Source organism: Homo sapiens, chromosome 8 (assembly GCF_000001405.40).
Source record: "Homo sapiens chromosome 8, GRCh38.p14 Primary Assembly".
NCBI lineage: Eukaryota > Metazoa > Chordata > Mammalia > Primates > Hominidae > Homo > Homo sapiens.
The window spans coordinates 135273582-135292608 of NC_000008.11; the positions used below are offsets into that span (position 1 = coordinate 135273582).

The 19027-nt window shown below is 41.9% G+C and overlaps 1 long non-coding RNA gene across 3 annotated transcripts in view; it reads left to right on the forward strand.

The window, feature by feature from the left end:
* Positions 1-19027, forward strand: part of LINC01591 (long intergenic non-protein coding RNA 1591) — a 65589-nt gene that overhangs the window by 39451 nt on the left and 7111 nt on the right. For 2 of the 3 annotated variants that reach the window (NR_026706.2, NR_120395.1), the window contains exons 2-3: positions 14515-14531; positions 17595-17771. This is a non-coding gene — a long non-coding RNA (long intergenic non-protein coding RNA 1591). The remainder of the gene's footprint in view (positions 1-14514; positions 14532-17594; positions 17772-19027) is intronic. The other variant, NR_120396.1, reaches the window with a different exon arrangement.

Below are 19027 nucleotides of genomic sequence, written 5' to 3' on the forward strand. Positions count from 1 at the left end.
TTGTGTTTAAAGCCATTCCCCACCCGATTAATGTCCTCTCCTCCCTCCTTTCCCCAGGGAAATTCCACAATCACTATAATCCCTTTTGCATAATTTTAAGTCTCCTTTTCTCTCTCTCTCTCTCTCTCTCTCTCTCTCTCTCCCCCCCCCCCCCCAATTGTATTCACTTGGAAAAACTCTAACTCTAGTAAAATTCAGCTGCCATTCTATTCCTCCCCAGCACCCAGTGTGGTCTGGCGGGAGACAAACCCACAGCCACATTGACTGGTCTCATTGAAATCTATGACCTCAAACCTTAGCACCTCAGGTGGCTTTTCACTGCTGCTGGGTAACTGCCCTAAACTTCCGGACTTTTCATTTCCCTTCTCCTAGGCAACCAGACTCGCCTTTTTGCCCGACAAGCCCCAGCACTTTCGCCCCACTCTTGGTTCCCAGTGGACAGCATTGCTCCCTACTTCACTCAGAATAGTGAGGTTAGAGAAAAAACAAAAGCTTCCATGCATCTCTTGCCACACCCCGGCACCCCAGCCCACACCCCAGTTCATATCCCAGCTGCCTCAACTGTCACTGCAACCTTACCCACCCACACATGGGCACCTGCACCCACCAGTCTGCCTTCCCACCGGAGCTGCTCCTGGACCCGTCACTCCTCACATTCTGTTTTTGCCATTCTGCTGTGATGTTCTCTACACAGACGGGGCCATCCCTGCAGACTGCTTTTCAGGGTCCCACCTTGGCTGGCTTCCTGGTACATCTAGCCAAAGGGAGGCAAAGGCAAGAGGTGGAAGGGCAGGGGAAGTGAGAAGTCAGGTGGATCCAGCTTTTCCCTGAACTTCCTGTGCTCCAGCCCACACTGCTCCATCTCCCAGTGGCTCTAATGGCTCCGGAGTCGCCCTAGCCCAGGGCATCCAGCATTTCTGCCCTCAATCCCCAAGTCTGGGGGTAGCAATGGCTTCTTCTCATCTCTGAGTTACCTCAGATCACTTGTTTGTCTTCTCACCTCACCCACCACCTGTGTAAATAATTCCCTGCATCAGCCATGCAAGATAAATAAGTTCTAGAGATCTACTTCACAACATCAGGCATATGATTGACAACACTGTATTGTACAGTTAGAAATTTGCTAAGCGGGTAGATCTTATATTGTGTTCTTACCACAAAAGGGAAAAACAAACAAAACAAAGAGGCATGGAGGAAATGTCTGGAGGTGATGGATAAGTTTATGGTGGTGTTGTGGTGACAGCTGCATGGTTGCGTACTCATCTCCAAGCACATCAAGTTGCATACATTAAATATCTATAGTTTTTGTGTGTCAACCATACCTTCCAAAAGTGGTTTAAAAATTCCTGCTGTTGCAAATATATAAACTCACCCCCTTTCTTGCTTAATCCCTGAATGATTCAATTCTTGGAAATAGAAGTGAGGTTTATCCTCTGAAGGTCTCATAAAAGTGTCTTACTAAGGCATATGATTAAGTTTATGATAACCTGAAGTTATTCTCGAGGAAGATCCTGCTTCTTAAATCAGGTAAAAATATGAGGAGTTGTGATATAAATTATCCCCTCCTCCCTGTTTTATCAAGTCATCATCGATGGCATTCATCTTTGTAATTCTCCCAGAGATGAGGTATTTGCTTCCATCCAGTGACAAATAATTGATCCTATTTTGACTATAGTCAGAAAACATCAGTCTAAGAATCACAGGATGGAGTGATGGAGTTGGGAATGGGCCCTCTCGCTAGTAATTATATGACCTGCTTACCGGGTCTTTTTGTCATGTCCGCCCAACCTTGGTCTCTGCTGGTCTAGAATTCTTTATTCCCAGGAGAGGACACTTCTCCCAGGGGACAAAACACTGGTTAGTTTAACCTGGAAGTTCACAGTGCTCTAGGTTAGTTGGGTCTCCTCTTTCCACTAAACCAACAGGCCAAGAAGGGGCTCACTATACTGGATGAATATAGTGAGCCCATAGTGATCCTGATTACCAAGGGGACTTTGGGTGTTTGTTACAAAATTGGAGAGGGGAGGGTTATGCCTTTTACCAGGGGATTCACTGGGGCATCTCTTAGAACTTTCATATCTAACAGTAAAAGTCAATGCAAAACTATAGCAACCGAATAAAGGAAGGCTTGCTGAAGACTCAGACATAATCCCCTACTCCCAGAAAATAAAAGAACAAAACAAATAAAAACCAAAATGCTGATTGAGGGCAAGAATGGTTGAGCTGAAAAAAGAAATTACAAGTATCAACCATAACCTCAGACAGACGCCTGAGTAGCTCTGCATATCTTTGTTTTATGTATAACAAGCAATGGATATGCTTTTCTTTTTAATTCCCCTACTATTTTGTTGAAGACAGTGGATGTTGCCTAACTTTACAACTTAGTTCCTAGGTCCCAGACCAGGAAGAGTCTGATCCAGACCTGGGGGAGATCCTGGTCTTGAGAAGGATGTGGTGACGATGGAACTTTGTGTCTCCCCTTGCTGGGGAGAAGGGGAGAATATTCTCTTTTTAATAACAGATCATGTTTCCACCTAACACGAGAGAACAAAGCTATCATCTGATGGCTGCAAACTGATAGAAATGAATGTAAAGGAGCAAAAGGAATAGATGTTCCCGGCCCTAAAACTGTTTGTTTGACATCAAGTCCCTTCCTTCCTTGCCCCTCTCTTGTGTGCTAAATGTTACTTTGGTGGCTTCCTAGTGAATCATACTCTCCCTCTGAATCTGGGCTGGCCCTTGGCTCACTTTAGCCTATAGATTGCAGTGGATGATATACCATGCAAATTATAGAAATGAGACTTAAGAAGACCTGGCATTTTTGTTTTCACCATGTTGGAATCCAACTGCCATGTGAAAGTCTATCTACCCTGAGAACTCCATGCTGTGAGAAAGTTCAAGCTAGCCACTGGGAGGGGCCTCATGGAGGAAAATCCAGGAACTCAGTGACAAGGAGAACCAAGGTCGCCAGACCAACAGTGCTAGCTGAGCTCCCAGCCAACATTCAGCAGCAATCCACCAGCCACATGAGTGAGCTGCCTCCGAGCTGGCTCCTCCAGGGGGCCCTGTGAGCCATCCTAGCTGAGGCCTGCTGAGGCACCAACAAGCAGTGGTAATGAAGCCCTACCCTAGTAGTAGAATAATGAGCAGACACAGCAGGTTTTATGTTTTTATAGCTTTTATTTTTTTTTACTTTTAGTTTCAGGGGTACATGGGCAGGTTGGTTCTATAGATAAATTGCACACCACAGGGGTTTGTGGTACATATTATTTCATCACTCAGGTAATAAGGATAATACCCAGTAGGTAGTTTTTTGATCCTCACCTTCCTCCTTCCCTCCACCTTCAAATAGGCTCCGGTGTCTATTGTTTCCTTTTCTGTGTCATCTGTACTCAATGTTTAGCTCCCACTTGTAAGTGAGGACATGCAGTATTTAGTTTTCTGTTCCTGCATTAGTTCACTTAGGATAATGGCTTCCAGCTCCAACTACATTGCTCCAAAGACCATGATCTCATCTTTTTAATGGCTATATAGTATCCCATGGTGTAATGTGGACCACATTTTCTTTATTCAGTCCACCACTGGTGGACATCTATGTTGATTCCATGTCTTTGCTATTGTGAACAGTGCTGATATGAACACATGTGTGCATATGTCTTTATTGTAGAATGATTTTTATTTTGGGAGTATATCCCCAGTAATGGGATTGCTGTGTCAAATGGTAGTTCTCTTTTAAGTTCTTTGAGATATCACCACACTGCTTTCCACAGTGGCTGAACTAATTTACATTCCCATCAGCAGTGTATGAGCATTCCCTTTTATCCACAGCCTCACTGGCAACAGGTTTTAAGCCACAGGATTGTGGGGTAGTTTGTTACACAGCCAGAGATAACTGGAATAACCATTATGCACCATCGGAGAAGGGCTTGGCCCTGCAGGCGTTGTTTCACCAGGCAGAGTTTGGCCAGTGGGAGCCTCTGGAAGGAGACTGACAGGCTAAAGGGAGAGAGGAGCCTCAAGGTGTGTTTCTGGCGAAGCTGCTGCTCTTCTGGTTCAAGCTGTTTCCAGAAAGACCCTCTGTGCTTCTGGTTTTGCAAGGCAATCCCAGCCCATTCCCCATTACGCTGCCTGTCCCCTTCATCCCTCCAGCCTGGGGTTGGGAGTGGCTTTTGCTGTTGTTCATCACAGTCCTGTTTTCCTCAATTCTTCCAACAGTTGTGTAATTAAATGCCCACATTAAATTCCCTCTATGAAAAATAAATAATTTCTGTTTTGCTGGTTAGATTCTGACTGATACATCTCCTGTTGCAATAAATAAGCCATCCCTGTTGTCTTCTACATCCTCATTTTTTTTCGATGCTCCCGATCTCCCATCAAAGTATAAACATGCTCTTACCCTGAAAGCTGGCCCCTCTGGCCTCTCTGATACATCTCTCCTCAATACTCTGCCTTGCCTTGTGGCCTTTGCACTGGCTGCTCTGTCCGCCAAGGAAGTTCTTCTCTCAGATGTGAGCAGGGCTAATTCTCTCACCTCCTCCAATCCTCTGTGCAGGCATCACCTTCTAATAAGATTTCATCAATCCCTACTTAAATGGCAGCCACTCTGTCCTTCCTCTGGCCCTCATAGTCCCCCTTATTCTGTTTCTTTATCTCTCCTTTTTTGCAGCGCTTATCATCTGTGAACATACAATGCAATTTTCTTATTTATCCTGTTTATTTTCTATTGTTTCTCTTCCCTGTTCTACATAAAGCTGATTTATCCCACGTGCCTTGAACAGGGCTGGCACATGGCGGATGTTCAGTAAACATTTGCTGAAGACATAGATGAATGTCCAAAGCAGAGAAAAGCTACACCTTTGTGGATGAAGCAGATGAAAGGGCTGACCGCCCAGGCTGCTCACTCTTCCCCTCTCCCTCAGTGATATTCTCTTTAGGACCTCATGAACATAGTTTAAAACACACAGCTGCAGAGTCCCTGAAAGCCCTGGATTATTTTGGCATATATATTTAGTGTGGGCTCACAACTTGTTGTCTATTATTTGTTACAAAGTTTGTTTTACAAACACATTCACTGAGTTTTAACAAGTGATACACCCCAAGATGGTCTGGGAGGGGGTTATCTAAATAAAAATACAGAAAAAATAGATTGTTTGCTGCAGAATTTCTCACAGCTTTTAATAAGTTCATGACTGTTATGAATTACCAAGAGGGACTTGGAATATTTCCCAAATGTATTTGACCACAGAACCCCTTTACTACGAAAGCTCTGGTGGGACACTTTGGGGAATACAGTTCTGTCTGCTGATATCAGCCATCCACTCATTACTATAATCATTTTTCATCACCATAAATATTTAACTCATATTCTTATCTTAATCACTAATACAGTTAGTAATTCTACATTAACATCAACCCTGCTGTTGTATGATCTTAATGATTAACTATTCATTTTAAATGATCGACTGTGGTTCACCCCTCAGTGCACAGTAATGAAATTCCAGTCCTAAGAAGAAGGTCAAGATGGTGGACAGGTAGAATGAGCTCTCTGGCGGAAAGTCAGACAAACTGGATCTGGTTCTGTCTTTATCACAGGTGTGTGACTTGGGGCAGGTAACAGAACACCTGTGCCTCAGTTTCTTGTTAGCAGAGTTGTCTTGAGTCAGTCTAGATGTTGACGCTAAGATTCCTCCCACATGTAGCAACAAGGAAAGTAAGCACATGTGTCTCTGTCCCTACCCAGATGAGCTCTGCTGGCATTACTTGGCGTAGACCTGCTGCTGTGTATTGTTCACTCTCTGTAGCAGGCACTGTTTTAATAGTCTCTGTCACAATGCCTACAAAAACCAGTGCTACAAATGCTTCAAATAAGAGTAATGAAGGAGAGAATGACTGGGGATACTTTACTCCATGAAGTTTATAACTTCAATGCTCTGTATAGAGCTACACCTCTACAAACTCTTCTCTCTTTCTCTATCTATCTATCTATCTATCTATCTATCTATCTATCTATCTATCTCTAATGTGTGCATTAGAACTGAAAAACATTATGTTGCAAGAGTTTAAATAAGTGTAAGAGACCAGGCAAGCTGAAGGAGTTTAGAGAAAGGGGAGATTATCTTTTCCCAAGGAAGGTTGTGGGGTCAGAGCTTGAGGGTGTTCTCTACTCAGAAAGAGTATTTCTATCTGTAATGAGAAGCAGGTCCCCAAAGGTTGAGTGTGAGTCAATAGCCCAGAGGTAGAATGTCAATTGGATCTGCTTGGTTGTTTAGAGGTTAGACTAGAAAAACTGTAAGAATATTTCCTTCTCCAAATGCTGCCTGGAGTCCCTGAGAAATCAGATGCTAACAAATCAGACACTTACTTTTTCAGTCCGGTCCCTTCATGTGGGACAATCAGTAGTTGAGTCCATCTTCCAAAGGAAAAGAAACAGAGCACTTGAAATAAAACAGTTCTACCTGCAATATTTCCAAGTCTTTGAGCCTGTTTGAATCCTACAGGTGACATATGAAATTCATCTAGAGATGAGTCTGACCATATGCACTTATGCACTTGTACTCATCTGGAAATTATAAAGATTGACTCCGAAATCAATCAAGTCTGAAGGTGAAGGAAAAAAGTCTCAAATAGAGAATTCCCTTTTCAAAAACCTGAGAGAAGCTCTGACAAAGAAAGATGTTACCCAAGATTGGAGATAGAATAGGCTGTCTTCTCGGAGTTCCAGGACTTGAGCAATCTGAACCCAGGTCCTTAAAACATGCTGTCAATTAAAGCCAAGGAAATCAATCTCAGAGTAATGGGCATCTGTAAGTTCCCAAATCTGAGCCCCATGCCAAATATGAATGGGAAAATAGTGCAAAACAAATCAAGGAGGGTCCTTTAGGCAGGACCTGGCCCTCCCACTAATTCTTCAAGTGATATTTGGCAAGTCTTTTCCACACACTGGGCTTCAGTTTCCCCACTTGTAAAATTAAAGGATTGGTACAAGATAGAATATGGTACATGCATAGAATAGATTCCAACATTTGTGCTCTTATAGCAAAGATGGGAATTGTCATTGGGTCAAAGCACTCTCTTCTACTAAACACAGATTCTGCCTCAGAACCCTCCTCAACATTGTGTTTGAAAACCTACCAGAGATCACCTGGGCATTTTTGGATCAATAATGTCAAAAATTCTTTCTGTGGTAAACATGCTTTTTAATTCTATGAAAACCAGGCTTTTTTAGGTCAAAGAATTTTGGCCATTCTAGCGTCTTCTCACTACGTTAGTACCACCTTCACAGGTTGCCTTCAAATGTGTAAATAGTTTAAATAATGGCTTAAAATTTCTACCCAGAATGTGCATGAACCATCATTTCAAAGTATTTGCACCTGAAAGCCACTCATAACCTGAAGTCCTTGATGCTGTGAGCAATCTTCCTGATAAAAAATCCATTAGAAAGACAAAGTCATAGGTGCTGGCGGGCATCTTAATGACTAAATCCCGACTGCTTTTACAACCAAAAATGTTTTTAATTGGACTTCCTTGGAGACCACCTCCTCTGTGGTGTCTTGAGGAATGTTCTTGCATGGTAACCTTGTGTGAAGGACACTTCACAACTTTGAGTGCTAATTATCCTCTGGAGGAAAGAGGAGAGGGATCCTAACCAGAAGCCAATTCCATAATCTAGTCAACTCTCCAGAGTTGGTCTTTTGTTATTTCAATTTCCTCAAGCTCCTTATTAGGAGGAACCTATGAACTCTTAACTGGGCCCCAGTTGAACAGAATGCTCAATTTTCAGTAAGCTTTTCAGAGCTCTCCTATCAAAGAGCAAGAGGCAAATGATGGCACAACAAGTTCATGTGAAGGAACTCAGAACAGCAAAAGATGCTTAGGGAAAAAAGAAAGTATGGCCTTACAACATTTGTTGTATTATTATGTAATTTTGTTTGTTTACTTTAGTTGCTTAAAACAGCAACTTGTTTTTGCTCATGCTTCTTCCGTGGCTCAGGAGTTCAGGCTGGGCTCAGCAGGGATGGTTCATTTGTGTTTCACATGGTATCAGCTCAGGCAGCACCACTGGGTTACAGGATCCAAGGTGGCCTCACTCACATGCAGTTGAAAGCCTTGCTTCATCTCTACCAAATCTCATTCTCTCCAGATGTTCTTTCATCAGCCAGGAATCTAGACTAAGCCTTTTACATGCAACTGGATTCTAAGAATACATATTATTTGCAAAGCTTTAATTTTTACTTTCCCTGAAATATTAGTCTTTTTGGGAACATCACGTTGTGGGCACCCATAACTTTGGTAAGGAAGAGGAGTTCTTGGTTCTTACTCCTGCCATTGGGATCTGCTTACTCTCACATCCCAGGCTACTTCTGGTTTGGAGATACAAAGTAACTAGGATGCTTAGACTGGGAAAACATTAGGAAGCTTTCAGTAATTGGCTTTCTTTGGTATAAGTTAGAGTAGAAGTCTCTGTGCCTCTCAGTGTGAGATTTCTCCAAACTTATCCCTAGTACGTAGCATTATGGAGTGTAAACCATTTGTCATCCTTCAAATCCACTGCCCACATGTACTGTGTCTGAGTTTATCTCATTACCCACCTGGCTGCAGACTTCAACAGCTGTTCCATTATCCCTAAAGAATCCACTTGTACCAAAGCATTAGTGAGCAATGTGGATTAATTGACAATCACAAAATGGAAAAAAATGTACATAGCACAACCCTCAGCAAAATTAAGAAGAAATATACATCCCATGTTAGACATTTCTCTTTTCTAATTCCCATCTCCTTCACAGAATCTCTGGGAGTTTTTTCCCTCTCCAATTTCCTTCCACTACACCCAGTCTCCCTGGATCCTTTCTCACCTCTGACAGATGTTACTAGGTCCTTCCAATTCATCTTGCCTCTATCATCTAGTGTGATTCAGCTCCTTCCTTTTAAATCTTGACCTTTATATTAAAACTTTTTTCTGTTTGAAGAGCTGAGCCTATAAAACCTCCAAGGTAGAACAGAGAGGAGCATTCTGAGCCAATTCTACCCAATTGTTCCACCGTCAGTATCACCTCCATCCTCACAACCAAGACAACAGCAAAAAGACGTGACTCTAGAAGCTTGTTCAGTGGCCTGGGCCTACTCATTTATTCATTTACTCAACAAATATTTACTGAGAGATCTTATCTATGTCAGACGCTGTGCTAGTCAGTAGCACAAGACTGAACAACACATGTCTACATGGATTTCACATTCTGGTGCATAGAAACTGGCACACATAAATAGAATGATTTATAAATGGACTTCAGTGTAGGAAAGAAATAGTGTTTTGATAGGAAATAGGAGAAACTTTTTTAGACAGGGTGGTTAAGAAGGACTTCCATGAGGATGGGGCAGTTAGGCTGAAATCTGAAGGATGAAGTGAAGCATTAAACTCTTTTCTTCATCCTGACATTTTCTTACTCTCCAGGAAAAATCCCAAAGAATGTTCAGAAAAGGAGAACATCAGCATGAATGACTAAATTGGCAAAGAACTTGGCATGTTCCAGGGAGAGTGGAATACTGTGAGTAAGGGGAAAATGGCTCAGAGTGAGGCTGTAGAGGCAGGTTGAGTCCTTCTTGTGTGGGACTTAGAGGGCCAGGTATTCTTCCCAGGGTTTGGTTGGGAAGTAGAGCCACTGCAAGTATTAGGAAATAAGGGATTTAGTATAGGTGTTGCTCCTTACACACATGTGGGAGGCACTGGGAAGTGATGTATAGAAGCAGGGAGTTGAAGAATGACAGCAACAGTCACTGAAACTCCAGCAAGGTGGACAGGTTAGAGCTGGCAGAAAAACCCAAATTCAGAAGCATGTCAGGCGCCTAAAGTAAAACCATGAAGGAGCGCTCAGGATGGGTCTCTGGGAGCTGCTGTCTCTGGGTAGCAGTAGCATTTGTGGAACTGCTGTCTATGGAGTTGCAGCCAAGTGTCTGAGTTGTGGTCAGGAGCTAGGAGGGTGAGCCGGATGCAGTGGATTATGAACAAGTGGTGCCTAATGGCCTTCTCTGTGCCTGTTCATGGCCTTTTATTACCACAGCTACCTTCTGAGAGTTGAAACCCTGCTTTCCTTCCAACCAGCAAGTCCCCCTCTTGGTTAACTCTAAACCAGAACCACAAAGGAAATGGGATTTTGGGAAACAGAGCATCCAACCCCCGAGCTGAGGGTTTAGCTTTTATGCTCTTAGAAAGGAAAGTTCACTCACCTTTACCACTTCAGAGCCTATAATAGAAAACATCAGTCCCTTACCATCTACCTTAGCTTCCTTTTACTCCTCCAGCCACCATATTTTTTCTATATTTGATTATGACTAACAGAGTTATTAAGCATCAAATTCTTCAAGTCTCCCCTTTTCTGATAGACAACTGAGAGTATCACATATTCTTTTCTTGGGCATTTAAGTTCCTCCCTGAGTTAACAGATGTCAGTGCATGCCCCACCCCTTCACAGGCTTAAAGGTCTTGGGGCTGGAGGGAGGACAGGTTTTGTAGACTTGACTCAGGATGCCCACGTGGGTACTATCCACTGAATGGTAATCAGGGGCAAGTTACCTATATGTGCTCCCAACTCACCCACCTGTGAAAGGGTATGGCAAACCCTACCTCATAGAATTGTTAAGGAGATAAAATTAAATAATGCATTATAAGTGGACAGCTTGTATGCAACATGTTTTATTCACAGAAAGTGCTCAGTTAAGGTTAATTCACTTTTCTTTTCCTCCACCATGCTGCCTGGACTAACACACAACTTTGGGATTAATCCTTGCCCATTGACATTATTGATTCCTATTTCTCTTCATTGCACACCACCAATATTGCAGCCATTATTAAGCTACAAAGGCTAAACCAATTCTTTCATTTATCACCCTTTCTAATACTTCAACACTATAATTAGCTTTCTTAACTGTAAACAGGCATGGTAATAATGGTCCCTAACTCAGATTCCTTATTAGGAGTGAAGGAGATAATGTGTGGAAAGGTGTTAGAACACAGCTTGGCACATAGGAAAGACTCAATGAATGTGAGCTATTCTTGTTACCCCAATCATCATTACTATGTACATTCCTTTTCCAAAGAAGTTGGTCAAGTCCTCTGTGGTGTGGTGGGAGGAGCCAACATGGCACTGGACCCTAAAGTTTCCCCATCCTCATTAAATGAGTGAGATCCTGGCTGGGCATGGTGGCTCACACCTGTAATCTCAGCACTTTGGGAGGCTGAGGTGGGCAGATCACCTGAGGTCAGGAGTTTGAGACCAGCCTGGCCAACATGGTGAAACCCCATCTCTACTAAAAATACAAAATTATCCAGGTGTGGTGGCATGTGCCTGTAATTCCAGTTAGTTGAGAGGCTGAGGCAGGAGAATCACTTGAACCCAAAAGGTAGAGGTTGCAGTGAGCCAAGATCATGCCATTGCACTCCAGCCTGGGCAAAAAAGAGCAAAACTCCACCTCAAAGAAGAAAAAAAAAAGAGTGAGATCCTGAGACAAAGGTCAAGGAAAGGCCTTGGTTGTCCACCTTAGGAGAGCTCTAAGCCTGCGGGCATCCCCAAGAGGTCATGAAGTGAACTTTGTTCTACTTCCCTCTGATTTGAAACTCTGGAGCCTTGTTGCCCAGGACAAATGGGCAATTTTAAGCTCCTTGAATGACTTTTTGCAGGAGGTCACTGTCCTTTTGTAAAAAGTCCAGATTTGTTAGCTGAAGGGACAGACCCATTTTGTCCCTTTCTAGGATCTTCAACATAATTATTTTTCTAAGTGCTTATATATTATTTCAATAAAAACAATAATGTCTAACATTTATTGAGCACTTAATGTATACTTGCCCTTATGTTGAATGCATAAGATCCACTATTTATCTCCGCACTGACCAATGAAGTAGAAGTTATTATATCAATTTTATAGAGGATAAGACTGATATACACATATATGCACACACACACATATATAAACACATACAGGCATATATACATGTATATACACACATATATAGAGATGTACATATATATAAACATATATTATATATATATACAACTGTTTGTGTATATATATATATAAACATTGTTCTAGTGGTGGCTACTTGGCAGTCTGAAATAATCCAGAACCCTTCCTGCTACTACATACAACATACAAATAGAAATGTTGGATAAAATGTTATAATTTAAAAGACAAAAAACGCATACACATAGCTTGGTTTTCAAGTAAAGAAAATCAGCAAGTACCAGAAACAAAGAAGGAATTGAAAGTTCAAGTGTTAAATATAAAATCTTAGTGTGGCCACTGAAGGGTAGGGAGTAGTATTGGACTCAGAAAAATGCCCAAATGTTTTTGGGCCTAGATTTCAATCTCATGTTGACATAGAAGATATTGTCTGAAGTCTATGATAGGAGGAAAGTTGGAACCCAGACTGCATAAAGCTGGAACTGTAAAAAACAACAACAAAAAAAAAACAAACAAACATAAAAACAAGCCTGAATTCTTGGTGAACATAGAATTAGAAGCTGGGTGTGGTGGCTCATGCCTATAATCCCAGCCCTTCAGGAGGGTGAGGTGGAAGGATCACATGAGCCCAGGAGTTCGAGACCAGCTTGGGCAACATAGTGAGACCCCTTTTCTACAAAAAATTTAAAAAATTTACCAGGCATAGTGGTACACACCTGTAGTCTCAGCTACTCGGACAGCTGAGTCAGGAGGATCACTTGAGCCTAGGAGTTTGAGGCTGCAGTGAGCTACAATTGAGCCACTGCACTCCAGCCTGGGGAACAGGGTGTGACTTTGCCTTAATAATAATAATAAGAAGAAGAAGAATTAAATCAATTTAAAAAAAGAAAAATAAACAATTTTAAAGAGAGTAGACTTAGGAAAACTCTAACCACCAACCTTGGATATTTATTAAAAAAAAAAAAAAAACAAAAAAACAACGCTTCTCTCCATCCAGGATTCTATGGAAAATAAAAACCCTAACCATTCATTGCAATTGGGTTTGGAAACTGAACTACACAGTGTGAATAGTTCAGAAATCTCAACCTACCAAATTAATATAAAAAATAATTTCTGGTTTATGGTACCTTTGGAGCCAAAACAAAGTGCTCAAAAACACAAATTTACTCTCCAAAATGCATGAATGTCCCACAAAGCAGAAAAATTAGCTCTTACTAAATATGTATTAACAATAAAAATGTACAAAACATATGAGGAAGTGACTCAGCACAGGGAGTTTTAATGATCACAATCATTAGGTGAACCAATGCTCCCAAGAAGTTGAGACAATATAACTGTCCAAAGGGATGATAAAATAATAACTTTTAAAAATTATTAAACAAGTAAACTGTAGGGGACAATTAGATATTTTTAAAAGACCAGATTACTTTGAAAGATTGGGAAGTTAAATGACTAGATATTAAAAACTGTTCCTGAAATTCCATATCCAATGGACTGATTGACTGTCAGACTAGACACAGCTGAAGAGATAATACAAGAACTTGAAGGTCAGTCTGAAGAATGCCACACAGAGAATCAAGACATGAAACATACGAAGGAAGCATAAGGAAATCTAGTGCATAGGATAAGAAAATCCATTGTTTCACTGGTAGGATTTGTAGAAGTAGAAAATAAAGAGATCAAGTAAAGGTGATATTTACTAACACAACTATGAACTTTCCAGAGTGAATAAGATGTAAGTTCTTAGAACATAAGCCCTGAGTAAGAAGGGTTAGATGAATCTTTTCAAGGCAAAATAACTAATAAGCAGTGGAGTCTGATTCATATAGACTCAATGTGAATGCAAAGTTTTGAATTTTAACCAGCATTCCTGAAGTGCAAGCAAATCTTCGGTATCTTCCTTGAGAGCTCAAATTGTGACTAACTCATAGCACCCTTAGTTTTGTAACAAGAGTCATTTTCTATCTGGCTCAAATCCAATTACAATCATGAAGCTGCTGAGCCAACATTTTCTAAATGTGTGGTTTTGTAGTTGTTGTTGTTAAATTTGTCCCATAAGATGTTCTTTTGAGGGTGGTGAAAAGTAGGAGTGGGGAGAGTTCTCTGATCAAATAAATTTGGAAAACAACTATATATGGTGTATCTTTTTGTAGAGGCATAGGAAATATTAGTATATTAAACTTTCTGATATGTCTGGAACAAAGACATCTGTTTGACTCCAGAACCCATTTCTCCCTAAATACCAAAAACTATTGACTTTCGGAAGACTGTGTGTCACAGCCCTGTACAATATCACAAATAATTATTCAACTCTGTTTGAATATTTTAATTTTTAGGTAATTCACTACTGGCTAAGGTAGGCCTCTCTGCTTTTAGATAGCTTTTATTGAAAGTTTTTTTTTTTAAATATTGAGGGAACGTGTTTCATCTTCTACCCATTGGTACTAATCATACCTTGTAAGATTACAAAGAAAATGTCTTAACCTGATTAATTTATGTTGCAGTGACAAATGACCACTAAATTTCAGTGATTTACAACAAACTTTTCTCTTTTTTGCTCAGGTATGTATCAACTCCAGGTGAGTAGAAGCTCTGCTCTTTGATCATCTTTATTTCAGGACACATACTGAAGAAGCACCCTCTGTCTTGGTTTTGTGGCCAAGGAGAAAATGGATAGAGGAACCACACATGGTTATCAAAGCTTAATTGTGGCAATCACTATGTTCTCTCACATTTCCTTGGTCAAAACAAGTCATACGGCCCAGGCGATTATCAGAGGACGGGAAGGTATGGGCCTTCCGAGGACAGGACGGCCGATATTTAAGAACTACCATACAGTCAATCACATAGTCAAATCTCTGTGTTAGAAACATTAGAAGACTGCTGCCATGTGCTCCACAGCCTTGTTTTCCCCAGCTTCTCCCATTTTCAGTTCTTTTTCTATTCTTTTATGACATGATATTGAGCCTCTTGGGATCTTTCTTCCTTGGAATATGCTCCAGTTAATGTGAATATTAATAACCATAATGACTGCTGGTGAATATGTCTGTGGCTATGCTTTGTCCTTTACTGGCATCATCTCTTATAACCCTCACAACAGTCCTGGGGATAAGTGTTATTATTCCCATTGTACAAGTGTTCAGATAGGTACACAGAGGCTCAGCGAACTATATTAATTTAACCAAAGTCACACAGCTGGCACACAGCAGAGGCTGTCTGAAAGTTCGGCTTTATAGGCTGTCTATAAAGCTCAGCTCCTAACCTCCAAAGCAGGCACTGTCTCTCTGTGTAGCTCTGTTCCCTGGATATGTAGGAGATGCCTGAGATGAGTTGATGCCTTTCTCCTTTTAAGAGCATATGCTGTGGGATGTAAATGTTCAAAAGTAAGAAGAAATTCTGTGATACAACAATTGAATCAAGAATAAGAATATGTTGGCACATCTTTCAGAAATGCAGTGTCCTCCGAGCACCTGGAGGCCCTCTATGCATTTAATGTACATTAAAACTGTACACTCTGAGTGCAGTCATCAACAGAGCAATTTATGGACATGATCTGGATCACAGATGTAAAAAACATTTTGTTTTATATATAAACTGATATTTTACAAGTGACCAACTCGAGCCCTGTGTTAAGGAGGATCTGGAGGCATAATCCAGTGGCATATCCCACAAGCAATGTCTGATAAAAAGAAGGAAGAAGGAAGCTATGCTTCTATATACCAAGCATTTGTCATCCCTGTCCTAGGGAAAGCCACCTCTATGATCCAGAGAATAGATCTTCTTGGAGAAACACTGGACCGATATTTAATTTTATAAAAAGAAGGAGAAAGCTAATATTATTTTAGCACCTACCACTGAGCATACACTTCATTTCACTTACTTCTCACAACACAGTGCAAATGAGTACAGTGCTCCCATTTTCCAGTCAAGAAGACGAAGGCTCAGAGCTGCCAGCTAACTCTTTCTGAGACCCACAGTGAGTAAATGGCAGAAACAGGACTCAGTCTTAGATCTGATGGACTCTCGATGCTACACTACGGCACGCCACCTTCTGAAATCCTCAGAGCTCAATAAAAAGTCCCACTGTTCTATGAATTTGTTTTGCCCAGTTTCAAGATATTTAACACTGTTCTGTTCTTGCCTTTCCTCCTTCTCACTGGCTGAAGTCTCACTCTTCTCAAAACACAAATGGCTATGAGGCAAGGCACTTTGTTGGACCAGATCGTGCCTCCTAAAGGTGGCAAGTTTGCATCACGACTTTACATAAATGCTCTTGGCACTGACAGCGGGAGGCAGGCAGGAGTGCGGCTCTGCCATGTGACAAATATAGAGCTGCTGTCCTTAAAGCTCTAACAAGAGACTAACCCTCAAGGGAGACGCCATGCAATAAATAATTTTTGCCATAACACATTTCTTTCTTTGCATAAATTTAACACCCTGCTCTCTGTACAATATGTGATCTTCCTGCTAACTCCCCATAGACAGAAATAGCTCTGGTAAGATGTGATAAAAGACAAGTGGCAGAAAGGAAGGGAGACATGACACATTGGAGAACTTGACTTTAGTGTCGGCTTCTCTACAATGAATATTATCTTTTGCATTCTTCATGGTTAACAATATACAAAGAAGGACTGCAGTGGGGCAGATCATTAGTCTGATGGGATCCCCATTGCATCAAATGAACTGTTTTTGGACTGTAAGATGCTGATTCCCTGTTTGCTCTGCCAGATGTTACCTGGCTTCCAGCCTTTCTTCTCTTCCCCATAGCAACGGTCACCAGACCACTTCCTTCACCCTAAACATGAAGGTAGCCCAGACACCAGCCTGCAGAGTCAATCCTGCCTCCAATAAAAGGGTTCTGAGAAATTCTAGCAAAACTCAGATATTTATCTAGCAGATCTCTGGTTTTGTGGCTCAGCTCAGGTTGTTGTGGAATTTTGAATGGGGATATGCAAATATACTTGGGGTCCTTCTTTCTGGAAATCAGAGCACTAACACAAAATTCTGCCTTAGATGTTTCCAATCTACCTAAATAATTTGTCTCATATTTTACATCCCCCCAAAAGGGCCTTTTGGCACCTGGAAAATCTTTAATTTGGGGGTAGTATCCTGTGTTCCCTTTGATCTAGAAAGCCTGCAGAATCATGGTGCTCCAATCTCAAGGGAGGAAGCACACTGTTTAGGAAGTCCTCATTCCTGCAGATAGAGGATGCCCTGACTAGGTAAGGGTGCCTGGTCAATACTCCTTTATTGCCAGAATTCTGAGAGCAGCACCTTTTCTCTTGCATTGTCTTTCTCCCATCTCATGTCATTCTGTTGGGAATGCTAATCACAGTCACACATCCTCTGCACCTCCAAGCATCAGTGTGACCATGTGAGCACAACCCCACCTCTGGAATCAGACAAGCATTTCACAGGACTAAAGTGAGGATAATCAAGTCACATGCTCAGAACTGGCCAGAGTTTTTCAGTTTCAAGTGACAAAATCTCCAACCCCCAAAATAGAACACATAGGCCTATGTAAACTGAAAACCAAGAGTAGATTTACTTCCAAAAGAGTCAAATCAAGGACTTTGAGGATGTGGTCAGGTATGGGTCTCTCTCCATGGACTCCTTGTCCTTTCCTTCACCCCCATATCCAGGTCTCTGCATTTGTCCGCGTTCTTCACTGTCATGTGGCTCCTCCCGATGTGATAGCAAAGATGCCCGTGGACAAACCAGGCTTGGGTCCATCATGTTGGCAATCTGGAGGAAGCCGAGCACTTTTTCTCCAACTGACTCAGTCCCAGGACTGGCTCTCATTTGCCCAGCTTGTGCAGGTGAGCCTATGACTAATCCCAGGTGTGATGGGTAACATTAGGTGCCAGCTTTGCAGAGTGAGGGATGCCTCATTGGCTGGTGGAGCATTGTTCTGGGTATGTCTGTGAGGGTGTTTCCAAAGGAGATTGACATGTGAGTCAGTGGACTGAAAGAGGAAAACCTGCCCTTAGTGTAGGTGGGCACCATCTAATCAGCTGCCTGCATGGGGCATGGCTAGAACAAAGCAGCCAGAAGAAAGGGAACATTCAGCTTGCAGAGTCTCCTCTTTGTCCCCAGTTGGAGGCTTTTTCTCCTCCTGTCTGTGGACATCAGACTCCAGGTTCTTTGGTCTTTGGATTCTGGGACTTGCTCCAGAAGCCTTTTGGGAGCTCTCGTCTTCACCGTCAGATTGGTGGCTGCACTATTGGCCTCCCTTGTTTTGAGGCATTCAGACTTGGACTAAGCCACACTACTGGATTTTCTCATTCCCCGGCTTGCAGATGGCCCACTGTGGGGCTTCACCTGTGTAACCATATGAGCCGGTTCTCCCCAGTAAACTCCATTTTATATGTACATATATCCTACTGGTTATGTCTCTCTGGAGAATCCTCATACACCAACCAAATAGCTTAAGCCACCTTTAGATGGAATTCTGTCATATGCAACTGTGAGAGATGGACTAATAGGTTCCTTTCTGAGGGGTCATTGACTTAGACCTTGGCATATCAAGAACCCATAGAAAGGAGATTAAGGCTAACGGAAGACATACCAGAGCATAAACCCATGTGAATTTGGGGAGATGATAAAAAGACAGAACTCAACCCCAGCTCACCTCTCTCATCTCTTTAGAAAAAGTCACTCCTGCCTAATATTGCATTAGTGGGAAGTTCTGTCAACCGCTGCACCTGGTATGGTGCATTCCTCCCTGTGGTGGTCAAATGGGCTTGGAGTTTAAACATTTTGTAGAAGTTTACACATGAGCACTGAGACTGATACTACATTGATTTCTACCACAATGCTAGTTGGCATCAAAAGTCAAAAAAGCCTCCTTATGGCTGAGTATGGTGGCTCACACCTGTAATCCCAGAACTTTGGGAGGTCAAGGCAGGGTGATCACTTGAGCCCAGGAGTTTAAGACAAGCCTGGGCAAGATAGCAAGACTCAGTCTCTACAAAAAGGTAAAAAATAAAAATTAGCTGGGTGTGATGGCACATGCTTACAGTACCTGGGCAGTGAGGTCCCATCTCTAAAAAAAAATCTCCTGGTTACTCTCAAT